Raw genomic sequence first — 14,888 nt, 5'->3', positions numbered from 1 at the left:
AAAAAAAAAAGAGATTTGCCATGTTCCAACTTTCAGATGCGGCACCTGGACCACCAAGAAATCAACAAATCTTTCCATGGCAATGAGAATGGGGGTCATGAATAGGACTAAACTTTAAGGTTACACCTACAAGAGAAAGAAGACCCCTGGCTCAGAGATGTGCTTTCCAAGAAGGAAAAGCTGGTAGGGTCATAGTGTTCAGACTCTGAGACAGGAAGAGGAGAAAGTATGGTCAGGGCAAAGTAACCTTGACAGAAGTCTAAACAATCACACGATCCCCATACTCTATGCAAAAGAAGAAATGGAGGCTGGCACTTTTCTACAGATACTAAGGATATAAGAAAATATTAATGGAGATGTCAGGCTTGAAGCCAAAATAATTTTCTAGAACCTGATGACAGTTTTGGAAGGATAACACAGATGGCCAAGGCAATGGCAGGGGACAGGGACTTCCTGAAGAACTTTTACTACATTTTCCTAAATATGAATTAATGGAAGACTCTACAGAGCTTCTTCCATCCTTCTTGGATTATCTTCCTGTTTTCCCCTCTTCTTTATCCTCCAACTGCAATAAATACATGGTGAATGGGAGCATGATCAGCTCTGAGGCGGGTAGGGGGAGACACCATTCCTTTTTCACCAACTCAGGTCTTTGTAACAGACACACATGCTTGGTCACAATTGCGGACTAAAGATGAGACAAAAATTGGAAAACTTACTTAATGAACTAAGCCATAGCAAATATTTTTGAGATTATGTCTCAATACTGAACCCTCAAAAATGACTTCTCCAGCATGTGATAATCATCAAATGTGAAGATTCCAGAAACAAAACAAGAGAGAAAGGAACTGACTATATTTACATCTATAAGTGACAGAATAGGGAAGAGGGAAGTATTCTTTGATCATACCAGACCACCACCTTAGATGCCATGCCTGGGAAGACCTGAGACACAAGAATAACTAACTTTAAGCTAAGTAAGTAATCTTCAGTAGTACTCCTAAAAGTTTATGATTCATCTGAAACACATGCTTTTTATAAATTCAGAATTTAAGGAAATTCTATTTTCCTAGTTATGCTAGTTACTTTATATTAGATAATCAAGATAAACTTTCAACCAATCTAGTAAGGTTAATTCAGTTTGCGTGACTTCTAAGACTTTATATGGTTTAACCAAACAGAAGATGAATAAAAATGGAAGAAAATGAGGTATCGGTGGAAAGTGTAATTCAAAGCATATCTGAGAGTTGAAGAAAATAAAAGTAACTACAGAAAGAATTCTTGGTTTTAAAATGATGTATCTTCATAGAAAAGTATATACGCAAACATAAAAAAATCTCAATCCACAAAATTATTTTAATAACTGGAGCACTTAATCAAGCCTAGTTTATAAAGTGTTCCAAATACCTAAAAATAATATATGAATGAGGAAGATTTTTTCTATAATCAAACCCTTGTTCTCCCCAAAATTATGTTCAACGAGACATGTTAAAATTAATTATATGTTGAAGTGCAAAATCTAAATTTTGTTTTAATACTTTCTAAAGTACCTATATCTCCTAAAAAGAAAAAAGTAAAATGTTTTAATAGTATACAGGCTTATCCTACAGAAAAAACAAGGGACTTCTTTATTTAAAAAGGTCAATATTTTTATACTGATATCTTTAAGATGAGTTCTTAGGACACCAAACAGACTCTGCCATTCACAAAATCTAAGTGACTCCATAATAAGATAAAAAGAAATTTACAGGAAATCACAGTGGCAATAAATCTACTGAATTATTATTTATAGTGTGTTTGTGACGCATACAGCATAACAAGGCAACAGGCCAGTATTTAAGGGCTGAAAGATTTATCCAACCTTAAACATATCAGTCTACGCAGGCCTGGAGTCTGTAATCATTATCGCAGTTTAATCTGTCTTTGCAAAACAAAACTAAAAAATAGACTGTGTGCCTCTGTGATTAATCATTTGCATTTAAAGCCAATTTGAACTAATATAAAAGATCCAAAAATGCAGCACCAAGAACAAGGTACTGAGAGACGACGGAATTTGTTTAGAATACCATGTTCTGAAAGTGTCATGCAACCTTCTGTTAAATATTTGGTTCATTCCATTTTGTCATCCTGATTTGTATTCTAGAAGCTGTTAGAAGCTACAGGATAATTTCGTTACAACCACAGCATATGTTGGTGAGCAAAATCCCTGATCAGTTGCAAAGTTCTTCCCCGTTAACCCCAAAGAACAATGGCGCTTGAAAATCCCAAAAACAGTTGTGGATTCCTAAAGCTCAACTTTCTGCACAAAGGACACAAGTGTGCAACGCAGCAACCTATGGAAAAAAATCAGTGTAAACAGTTCGCGAGTCCGGGCTATACGCGGCAGGAGCATAGAGTAGAAAGCTCAGATGACAATGTACTTTCAATGAAAATGGCCATGCTGTGGAATCATAAAAATAAAGCAAAGCTGGCAGTCATCCTCTTAGCATTTGGTGTTCAACTTTGGAATGCTGCCAGGTACATAAATGTAGCCAAGGAGAACACATGTCTTTAAGAAAATGAAGACATTTTCAAAAAAGAAAAAGAAGACAAAACAGGGAGGGAGGGAGGAAGAGAGAGAATGAGAGAGAACAGAACTACACTAAATAAGCAGTGGCAGTTACTAACACTGCCTCCTCTACCTCCCCCCTCATCAAAGCTGCTTTAACTTTGATAACCAGTACTTATTTGCAGATGTACATATTTTTCCCTGACCTTGGCAGCATCAAAGAATTTATACACTTAGCAATTCTTGCACAATCTCTTGAAAAGAACAGCACAAATGTTCTACCCATCCATGCCAAGCAGGACTTGTTACTCTTCCCCACCTATTTTTCTTCCAGTAAGTTAATTTATCTGTTTAGATTTTGGCTCTAAAATAAACTTCTAAGACAACTAAACTTAGAGATTTTTTTTTCCTTTCTTTTGATGAAGTTAGGAGAAAAGAAGTGATATGAAAAACTAATTCACTTAATAGGCTATAAATTTGTGCAAAGTACTAAATACAAAAGATTAAGAATTATAGCTTTTCCAGGTTTATTACAATGATAAATGAAATTTTTTCATTCATGTATCTGTTCTCAACCCATAGCCAAAGAGTTTCTACGGGAATTGAAGACAACCTCAATAGCTGCAATAATCTTAATAACAAGTCCAAGATAACTATAGCTTTATGTATTGAATCTCTTATAGCACATAAACAATTTGAAAATAATATTCATTCATTCTAATAACAGTGCCTAGAGGTTATGTTTAACACTTTGTTCTCCGTAATAAATTAAAATTATGACAATTTACAAAGCAAAAGCCCTTATGAACTGGAAAGCAATTTCTAAATGAGGTTACTGTAAAACTAGGTGCCATAAATATGCCTAACTTTACCCAGATTCACAACAGGAGTGATTCATGGGCCCACATCAGCCTCCGCCAAACCTCAAAACAGGTGATTCATACTTGATTTCATTTCTGTTTATTTTTCTTTTCAAAAAGGACTTTCAGAATTCCAAAAAGTTTATGTTCCTATGACTTTTGTGGGAGAAAGGAAAAAAATAAATGCTCCTCCAATTCCAGTTCCACTTTTCATGACCAGCAAGAGTGCTGGAGGATGCCAAACAGTATCACAAACTAGGAATCTGAGGAACTTTTCATGAGAGAAGGGAATTATGCCGATCTAAAAAAAAATCATGATGCCTAGTGAAAATTTACAACGCTGAAGACATTCTCACTTTCCGGTACAGAAGGAAGTTAAAAGTAGAAGACTAACTTTTATCTTTCTATGTATTTGTCGTAGGAATTTTTCTGCATGTCTTCCTTAGATGAAAGAATGAAATTGTTATTATAATTTATTCATTTCCTTTAGCTACAAGGAAGTATAGCATAACCAATAAGGACAAGAATCTGGAGTCAATCACTTAGACTCAGATTTTGACTCCAACCTTACATTTGACGTGACTGTGGAAAAGTCACTTCACCTCTGAGCCTCCATTTCTCATCTGTGAAACGGGGAGACAGAACTTAAAGTAAGCATTTAATGAACACTATTATTTCCCTCTCCATAGTCTATTTCTTATTCGGGTTTTAACTAATGTTACAAATAGGCAGTAATATTTACAAATAATAGTAATAAACCCTTAAATAATGCATATTACGTATGGTTCTAAACAAATTACAAGTGATAACTCATGTAATCCTTACACCTAATTTTGAGGTAAGCATTTTTTTTCCAGAGGAAAAAGCTGCTGTACAGAAAGATTCAGTTACTTGTCCAAAGGCCAACTAATAAATAGCAAAGCCAGAATTCAGACTCATGTAGCCTGGCTTCCAAGTCCAGGCGTTCGCCACTAACCAGCTTCTTGAAGAAAACTGTTTAAATAAATCTTATAACATCATAATTTACATAAAAGATAAATATAGAAATTATACGTTCAGTATATAAGTGATCATGTATTGCACCTAGGTAACATTTTTGTCTGCAACCTAAAAGAATGACATTTAAAAAGCAATCAGATAAACCACAGTTCACTTTTTTTTTTTTTTTTGAGACAAAGTTTCGTTCTTGTTGCCCAGGCAGGAGTGCAATGGCGCAATCTGAGTGCAATGGCGCAATCTCGGCTCACCGCAGTCTCTGCCTCCTGGGTTCAAGCAATTCTCCTGCCTGCCCCAGCCTCCCAAGTAGCTGGGATTACAGGCATGCGCCACCACACCCAGCCAATTTTTTTTTTTTTTTCTACTTTTAGTAGAGACAGGGTTTCTCCATGTTGGTCAGGCTGGTCTCGATCTCCTGACCTCAGGTGACCCTCCTGCTTCAGCCTCCCAAAGTGCTGAGATTACAGGTGTGAGCCACCACGCCCAGCCCACAGTTAACTTTTGTTCCAATTAATGTTTTAGGAAACTGCAAGGAAGAACAGATTCTGTCTTTGAAATATTTGATGTACTGTATAAGATGAGCTAGTTTATCACTTTACAACAAGTTTATATGGAATAGAACCAACAGCAACCTCATATTTCACAGTTCATGGGAAATCCCACTAACATCTGCCACGCACAGCCAATGACCCCTATGGACAGACCCCTTCCTGTACTACTGGATCAAGACTCAGCCCTTACCCCAAAGGCTAACATGAATCCAGTTTCCGGGGGAAAATTAACTAACTTCATGGGGCATGTCATTTCCCCAATCCTCTTGTAACATATCACTGACTTCAAATAAGTTGATAATGTCAAGGGCCAGAAGACTAGTTAATTGACTAACTAATGGTGAACTGGTTTATTAACAAAATGGAACCTTCATCTATATATAACTGCAAAAATTCTTTCAAGGTAGCTGCTGTTCTGCTTTAGAGCCTAACACAGAAACATATCAAGAAGAAAACTTTCCTTAAGACCAGTGATTCTTCTTAAAGATAAGGTTCGTTACCTAACTAAACTATACAACTAAAAGTCTGGAAAGATAAAACCACTGGTAAATGCTTTTTACCCTTTTACTTTGTAGCCTTTTTCTGCTGATGTTACAATATATTCAAATATGTTTCACCATATTCTAATATTTATAATTTTAATTAAATTGCTACAGAATTAATTATGACTAATGAGAAATTGACTACAAAGAGTAATAAAATGCTCTGATAAAACCTTTCATGTATATAATGTGATATATATGGTATGTATATGGCATATTGACATATATATATATATATATATATAATATGTTCTCTCTCTCTCTCTCCCTCTCTCTCTCATTCTCTCTCTCTGTTCTCTAGATGTTCCCTAGGCCTAGCCACAGTTAAATTGTGGGTTAGATATCAGAAAAATGGGTATTAATACCACATTGAGCTACCACTGCACTGTCATAAAACTGACTGTAATGAAAAAGATTGACACTACTAAGTGTTAGCAAAGATGTAAGACAACTGAAACCATCACCCACTGCTTGTGGGAGTGCAAACTGGTACAACCATCTTGGAAAACTGTTTCATGATGTTTACTTTAGCTGAACACAGGCATGCCATATTACCTAGCATTCCACTCTATTCACTGAACAAAAATGCATACATATGTGTATGAAAGGAGCACATAAGAATGTGCATAGGAACATCAATCTCAGTTCCCTCAACTGGAAATGGCCCAATGTCTACCAACAGTAGAGCACATAAATCAAATGTGGTCTTTCCACACAGTGGAATGCTGTAAAATCACACCAACAAACCAAAATCAACCAAAGACAATCCACAAATTACTAAAATGTCCAACATAGATAAATATAACAGCCATAATGTTCAGTGAAAGAATTCAGATACAAAATGATTCCATTTACATAAAACTGCAAAAACAGGTAAAACAAATGTATGGTATTGGAAGTAAGGATGGTGATTATCTTTAGTGAGGAAAGAGGGAATATGATTGAGAAAGGTCCAAAAGGGGACAGGTGAGGCTGAATGCTTATTTCTTTACCTGGGTGGTGGCTCCACAGGGGTTGACCTTATGACAACTCACCAGGCTGAACACATGATTTGTGCACTTTTTGGCATATATGTTACATGATCAATAAGAAGGTTGATTTTAAAAGGCCCATTTTCAAGCCTAATTATATATTAATCTCTATTGGTCTGCTTGAGCTGCCATAACAGATTACTACAGGGTGGTTTCAACAATAATTAATTTTCTCGCAGTTTTGGAAACTAAAAGCCCAAGGTCAAGGTGTCAGCAGGGTTGCTTTTTGGTGAGGCCTCTCTCGCCTTAGCTTGCGGACTGCTGCCTCCTCACTGTGTCCTCACATGACCTTTTCTCTGTGTGCATGCAACCTCATTCTCTTTTTGTCTTCTTAAAAGGATAACAGCCCAGTGCGGTGGCTCATGTCTGTAATCCCAGCACTTTGGGAGGCCGAGGCGGGTGGATCACTTGAGGTCAGGAGTTTGAGACCAGCCTGGCCAACATGGCGAAACCCTGTCTCTACTAAAAATACGAATATTAGCCAGACATGGTGGTGCACACCTGTAATCCCAGCTACTGGGGAGGCTGAGGCAAGAGAACTACTTAAACCCAGGAGATGGAGGTTGCAGTGAGCCAAGATCAGGCCACCGCACTCCAGCCTGGGCGACAGAGTGAGACTCCACCTCAAAACAAAAAACAAAAACAAAAAAAAAAGATAACAGTCCTAATGAATTAGAGCCCCACTCCCAGAGGCCTCATCTCCAAATATAGTCACACTGGGTGTCTGCGCTTCTAAAGATGAATTTGAGGGTTGGATAGGAGGACAATTTATTCCTTAACAAACTCTCTGATATTCTCCAAGTTGTTTTTTTTTTTTTTAAAGTTCTTAATTCCTTTCCTTTATGTCAAATTTTCACATTATCAACCTCTAAAACTTTTAAATCTTGGTATTATAAAGACTACCTAAAAGTATACCTAGTGTTTCTGAATATTTTACTTTTTAAATTTCTTTCAAATCATATACTGTTTATAACAATAAAATTCTAAGGTTTTTAAAATTATATAGGAACTATTTTTAATCAAAGGGCTATAGTAGACTCTAACTGCAAGATATTTTAAAACAAAATTCTATTGGGCAAATATCTTTGTAATACCAATTATATATGTTCCCTAGCTACAGACAAGTACGCAATATGTGTCGATGCAAGTCACTTGTTTAAAAAACATACACTTACTTTAAAAAACAACATGTAAAGGTATTTTTTCTAATTACTTAATAATCTAGTATGCTGCCGGGCATGGTTGCTCATGCCTGTAATCCCAGCACTTTGGCACACCAAGGTGGGCGGATCACCTGAGGTCAGGAGTTCGAGACCAGCCTCGCCAACATGGTGAAACTCCATCTTTACTAAAAATACAAAAATCAGCTGGGCATAGTAGCTTGTGCCTGTAATCCCAGCTACTCGCAAGGCTGAGGCAGGAGACTCACTTGAACCCAGGAGGCAGAGGTTGTAGTGAGCCGAGATCGCGCCACTGCACCCCAGCCTGGGTAACAGAGTGAGACCCTGTCTCAAAAATAAATAAATAAATAAATAAATAAATAAATAAGTAAAATCTAGTGTGCCCATTGTCACTATCTGCCATGCATTCCTGCAAACACTCCAGGAAACCATTTCTATTAAATATCTGGCTATCTTATGGCAGCTTTTACTTATTTTCAAATGGCAGCAAAATGGGAATGCTGTTTTAACAGAATAGAGATTAAATTACCAAAGGAGAAATACAACTTTTAACTCAGAATTCTTGCCAAAGACGCTAGTTTTCCTTTTGTGACAGATGCAAGCCAGCATTTGAGGGTTTTCAATGATACGCCTGTGTAATCATTACCCCAAAAGCCATGCCATAGCAAACACCTCGTCCTATTGATATTCTAGGAAACAGACCTGTATATTTACCCTTTGGGATAAATTTGGTTTTGCCTTCTTACACGCTTATGTATGTTTTGGCAATATATACTAAAATTTACATTAAATCATTTAACAACTCTTGTTATCACTTATAATGGTGTTTAAAGCTACATACATTACTAAGAACACAAAAGAAAATTACCGTGAAGAAAAACAAATTCCAGTTTACTTATACACACTATGGTAATCCCTCCTTGCCATGTGAATTGGGTTATTAAAACTCTATGAAAAAGGAATTCACAGCCAAAAATACCATTTGAAAATGGAGTCCAGTGACTGCCTTCACGTGGCGTTTCTACAGGGATTAAATGACTAATAACGGGTTCTACACTGTTCGTTTCTATTCATTATGTCTTGCTTATTTGAAACATATCAGTTTTTCTTTCCGTGCAATTTCAACAAGCGGCTTGGCATTATTTGTTGCTTTACTGCAGCTACTATGCACACTAAGGAGCTAGTGTTTTGTTTTTTGTTTTTTTTTTTTTTTTTTTTTTTGGTCTGTTTCAGGTCCTGCATGATGACTCAGAGTTGTAGATTCTAACTCTAGCTCTCCAGGTTCAATCTCTTTGTCTCAGAGGCAGAATAAATAGCTTGAAATGGAAAAGGCGATGGGTAACTTTCCTTTAACTGACTCTCCCAAGTCACTATGTCCCAAGGCCCTCCCTTCATCAGCAGGACCATGATGCCTGGATTCTGCCCACGAAAACATGAGGCCAACGCATACACCTTCCACTCCTCTGACAGCCTTCCTAGCTCCTGCTGACACCATTAGAACATAGCTCTAGGGTTGAGCCTCACGTGGCTTCATCTTTTTTCTTTCTAAATGTTTCTAACCAAAAAAGCTTTGCCCCTTCTTAAGTAACTCTTTTTCTCACTTCCTGCAACCACAACAATTCCCAATTGGCACGGACCAGGACCAGTTTTTTTCCAGTTGCCAAGTTACTTGGAAGTACCACTGGCATACTCAAATGTTGCAAGCGGGGACTGATGGCTGGGGACAGATCATCCTTCGTCTAAGGACAGTGCAAAGAAGCAGCAACCAGCCAAGATCAAAATCCCCACCGATGCTGCAGGTGGACAAGTTCAAGTTCAACTGCAGCTAACTGTGGGAAGGAAACATGAGGGAGGCACTTGGGGAGTGCCACAAGGAGCCAATAAGGGTAGACAGCTAGGGAAATGTAACTGTCCCCAATAAAAATAAAACCCAAAAGGTCATATAGGATTTATAGGAAACAGTCCTGCCACACAAACAGGGGGCAGGGGTGGAATCTATGGCCATGATGATGGACTCAAGCGGCACTGGGGAAAGTGGCATCCAAATGACACGAGGCAGCTTTTCCAGTTGACTACCACTGTTCCGTAGAGTGAGCTGTCATTGACAAGAGATGATGAGAGTACTGATCAGACACTGGACATCCCTGGGCCACAAGAACAGATTCTCTGCTGCATGCTCTGCCCCTACTTTCCACCCCATGGAGAGGGGTTAGAGGAAGAAACAAGCTCACTCATTCCTGATGAGACTTCATTCTCAACACATAACCACAACCCTCAGAGGTCCAGCTGCCTCTATGCTCTTCCTCTGGTAATGGAATTCCTTTCTGTTACCATATATAAGCGTGTTTATATGTTAGGGAGCCTGGCACTGTCTGTTTAGGGGACTGTTCCAGGCTGCTTGGCAGGAAGATACTACACATTAAATGAGACGAAGGCTATGTCTCCAAAGGCAGAAATGGTTTAAATTATGTCTCAGTGATACTGCATGTTCTGTTTAACCTCGATAGCCTCAACCATTTCAAGACCAAGAATGATTTTCTAGTTTTCAATGCAAGCCCAAGTGAGAAGAAGAAAGCTCAACTAGAAGAACCCCAGTATCTCACAGGTAGGGATACAGATGCACATCAGCTCTCTGTCCCACTGAAAAAAAAAAAAAACAATCCCCCCAAATCCATAATCATTTCTGCTGGAGTTCTCTCACTGTTTCAAAGAAATCCTCTGTAATGAATGCCACACTTCTCTTTCCTCAACTTGCCAGGAAAGAGTGTAATTATTACTTAGTCTCACTTAAGATTAAAATATTTTAATTATGACATTAAACAGCACCGTCTTCACTTCAATTAAAAGTAAGTACAATCATACTACATAAATCTTAAGGAAAAGAGTGAAACCCACCTTTAAAAATCTAAAGTCATTTTAAGGTACTTATCAAAACCATGAACTTAAAACTCTTACCTGGCGAACAAAACTATTTGAGGTAGTATCAGATGACGTGCTTCCATCAGATCCTTTAAATCTGTTTTTCCTTCTGGCTCCTTTTCCATATGACTAAAAAAAAAAAAAAAAAAAAAAAAAGACAAATAAGATTATTATGAGACCCTTTAACAGGAATGTAGGCCTAGTTGCAGAAAATGTCAAAGACCAAAAACAAGTAATACATTGCCATCATGTAAGCATCATTAGAAAGTTAATACTGGTGGGACTCTACAAATCCATTTCCAATCAGTGATGATGTGGGGAGGAGAGTTTTCTTTTCTTTTCTTTTTTGAGACAGAGTTTCGCTCTTGCTGGCCAGGCTGGAGTGCAATGGCACCATCTTGGCTCACCGCAACCTCCGCCTCCCAGGTTCAAGTGATTCTCCTGCCTCAGCCTCCCGCATAGCTGGGATTACAAGCATGTGCCACCACGTCTGGCTAATTTTGTATTTTCAGTAGAGACAGGGTTTCTCCATGTTGGTCAGGGTGGTCTCGAACTCCCAACCTCAGGTGATCCGCCCGCCTTGGCCTCCCAAAGTGTTAGGATTACAGGCATGAGCCGTTGCACCCGGCTGAGGAGGGTTTTCTTGGCAAAGCATTTAATAACTAGTGAATTAAAACAATGGATGTCGTCTTATAAATGTGTTAGCAGGCAAGAGGCAAAAGCCTGTAATGATAAAGCATTTAAAAATAAGCATTTAAAACAGGAAGTTAAAGGTAAGATGATTTGTTTCGATAATAGGATTGGGCCAAGCAGAAACATCTAAAAATGAACTTGCTTTTCCTATTATGTTTACATTCAGAACCCTAAGAATAAACTACACATCAATCTATGTTTAATTCTAAGCATAGATGCAGTAAGGGCAAATATTAAACATTAAAATATAAATGAACAATAGCTTAACAGTTGAGTTTAGAGTTAAATGTAGCACACAGGTTAGAATCCTGGACATAGCAAATCTTCACCAAATTTCTTAACTTTTTCAAGCATCAATCTTTTCATCTTTAAAATGGGGTTAAGTATTAGATGAAATAATACCTCATAGGATTAAGTATGAAACGAAATAATGTATTTATAGCATTTAGCATAAGATCTAACACATGGTAAGGACTCAAAGTAATACATAAAAAGTGATACCTATACAGGGGTTGGAAGATGTGGAAACAAACTGGACTAAAGCGTATAACATGTTGACAATTATTAGGCTCATAGAGACTTCCTTAGATTATCAAAATTTACAACATTTATTTTTAAAATCATCACATTCAGGTTCTCAAAATGCTATTTGGTTATGCTTTCTCTATTCATATGCTTTTCATTAAAATATCTGCCATAATATATGTAGCACTTAGGCAAGCTGAAATCTATTACAAACATTTGCGTTATGAGTAATTTAGACGAATTTGCTATCAGTGAGAGGGTGGTATCATCTTAAAGCAAAAAATTTTCTTATATATGTTTGTTCTATTCAGAGTATCTAAGGGATTTATATAATACAAATGTGTTTCCATGACATTTAATTAACTCTCAACTTCATAAACGGCAAGAAAGCTACGCTGGTCTTTCATAATGTAATATACAAGGTTGTCCTCGGTTAACAGCTCATTCTTTTTACTTGTGTAAACATTATTCAGTAAACTGTTGAAAAATAACATTCTTTTAACCACTTTTTTTCTTTTCCAATTATTATGTAAAGGTTTGGACAGATGCATTTTCTAAGGCCTAAGAAGGCTAAAATAAAGTATGAAAATCTCTTTAAAATTTTCTTTTAAATTTATATTAACCTATGTGCAAAAATACTTATTACCTAGAAAGTATTTTTAAGGCCTGTTTCTTTGGGGGTGTAGCGACAATCTTTGTTAAATTCACCGTTTATCCTCATGAGGAACATGAATTATCTTTGAGAACAAAGACAAAATATAATCTCATCCCATTTTTTTTTTTTTTTTTGAGACAGTGTCTTGTGCTGTCACCCAGGCTGGAGTGCAGTGATATGATCATGGCTCACTGCAGCCTTGACTACACCCCACACCCTCTGGGCTCAAGCAATCCTCCCACCTCAGCCTCCCAAGTAACTGGAACTACAGGCACACATTGCCGTGCTTGGCTAATTTTTGTTTTTTGTAGAGACAGGGTCTCACTATGTTGCCTAGGCTGGTCTTGAACTCATGACTTTAAGCAATTCTCCCGCCCCAGCCTCCCAAAGTGGTGGGACTACAGGAGTGAGCTACCATGTCCAGCCTCCAGTACCGTTTTTAAATGAACAGAAAAGAGTATCTTCGCAATTCTATTGTCCTTTAATTTTAGCATTTTAGTGATAAATATGTCTCATTATCCAACTTCTTGAATGTGTAAGCTTTTTTGTGGTTGCTTACAATTGTACAACAGGCACTGTGAGAGCCACACAATGTTGAAGACATTCAGTCACAGAGGAGGTGGCTGTTCTCTGCAAGAAGTTGAACACATTTAAAAACTCACATTAATTTTTCCAGACCCCTGGGAATCCTGTTCATAAATGTTATTTCAGGCGTACTTAGCTACCTATGCAAAGTATATGTAATGAAATTATTACAGTTTTCAACTGTACTAAGATAGTTTATACACCAAACAACTATAGCACACTGAACTGCATGCATGCTGGTGATAGTTTTGAGAAAAAAAATTGTTCTTCAATTACTTAAGTGTATAAGGGATGATTTATTTAAAGTATTCATTTGCTCATGCCTTAAGAGTGTTAGAGCAAATCCCTATCATATATCATATTAAAAGACAAAATAAATATATATGCTTCATTATATCTCTATTCTGTTATTTTACTAATTTCCACAGGAATTTCTCTTCTAAAGTTTCTTTTTTTTTAAAAAACTGTAGAGTGATTACTTACTGACCAGTTATTTTGTTATTATAATAACAGTCAGGATCAGAAAACAAAAAAACATTTAAAGCATCTTTGGAAAGCTAATAGTCCATTTTCATATACCTTTAAAAATGTTAGTGAAAATTCATCCTGCTATTACAAAATTAAATTTATTTTAATCTAATGTGTATTTAAAATTAAGTCCATCTTGCTCGAAAGATTTGGTTTTCAGTTACTTGAAATCCTTGAAAATAAGGACTAGACTACTTCTTCTGAAGGAATTAAGGGGGGAAAAAAGTGAAGGCCAAACCTCTCCCAAACGGAAAAGACAGGGAAGATTAAGTGTTCAAATATTTAGCTGACTAAATTTGAAAAAAAAAATATATGTAATTGTTTTAGTTAATTTGCTACTTCAAGTGCAGCTACTTTTGTGAACAGTTTTTCTAAATATTTTTTACCAGCATTAAAATATATGAACGCCCAATATCTGAAACAGTTAATCATTAGTGCAGCCCAGGTTGTATAAGGAAAAGGGGAGACAGGAAAGGGGATTTGGCTGTAGTACAAGGTGTTACCTATAGATTCTCCCTGACACATGCAGGTCTCTGTGTCCTTCTTGAAAGAGTCCCAAAAGTCACTAATTTCCACTAATTGCTATTAGCTATATGAAGCTTAAAACAAATTATGTCACCACAGTAAAAAGAAAAAAAAAACTCTTATATTTATATTCCTTTAGTTGTTCCAAAACATCAAGCTAAGATTTCAGAAACTAGGGAAAAAAATTCTTAAGAAATTTCCAAAAATATATTAATGACTTATTAAAAAGACATTCAAAATCCATCATGATGTTAATATCAGCTTAGTGTGAATGAATATCCATCTTCCTTGACACGAAGTAACTTAAGAATGGACTCCAGTCTTAAAAATCAGCAAATAAATGTTGACCTTTTCACAGGTAATGAAAATCTAATTGCTGCATGATTGAAGGAGACAGGAATAATTAATTACAGAAGTTGTCAGTTAACTGGAGATTTTAGCCGTGCACTCAAAGTTGTCTTGGCAGCCCCTGGGGACAACCTGAAGAATGATGTGGCTTCTGTGCTTTTATGGTTATTGTGACACTTCTCCTACCTACAGATTACTTCCCATGAGCAAAATACTGACACTTAAAATTAGGCCGGGCACGGTGGCTCATGCTTGTAATCCCAGCACTTTGAGAAAGCAATGTGGGTGGACCACCTGAGGTCAGGAGTTTGACACTAGCCTGGCCAACATGGCGAAACCCTGTTTCTACTAAAAAATACAAAAGTTAGGCTGGGCACAGTGGCTCACACCTGTCATCCCAG

At 37.1% G+C, this 14,888-nt stretch overlaps 1 protein-coding gene across 7 annotated transcripts in view; it reads right to left on the bottom strand.

The window, feature by feature from the left end:
* Positions 1-14,888, bottom strand: part of CACNB2 (calcium voltage-gated channel auxiliary subunit beta 2) — a 403,134-nt gene that overhangs the window by 381,918 nt on the left and 6,328 nt on the right. For all 7 annotated transcript variants that reach the window (NM_201571.4, NM_001167945.2, NM_201572.4 and 4 more), the window contains exon 2: positions 10,665-10,757. In NM_201571.4, the coding sequence (NP_963865.2) occupies positions 10,665-10,757 (93 nt within the window). The remainder of the gene's footprint in view (positions 1-10,664; positions 10,758-14,888) is intronic.

This window comes from Homo sapiens, chromosome 10, assembly GCF_000001405.40.
Source record: "Homo sapiens chromosome 10, GRCh38.p14 Primary Assembly".
In the NCBI taxonomy this organism is placed as follows: Eukaryota; Metazoa; Chordata; class Mammalia; order Primates; family Hominidae; genus Homo; species Homo sapiens.
This window is presented reverse-complemented; position numbering and strand designations above follow the sequence as displayed.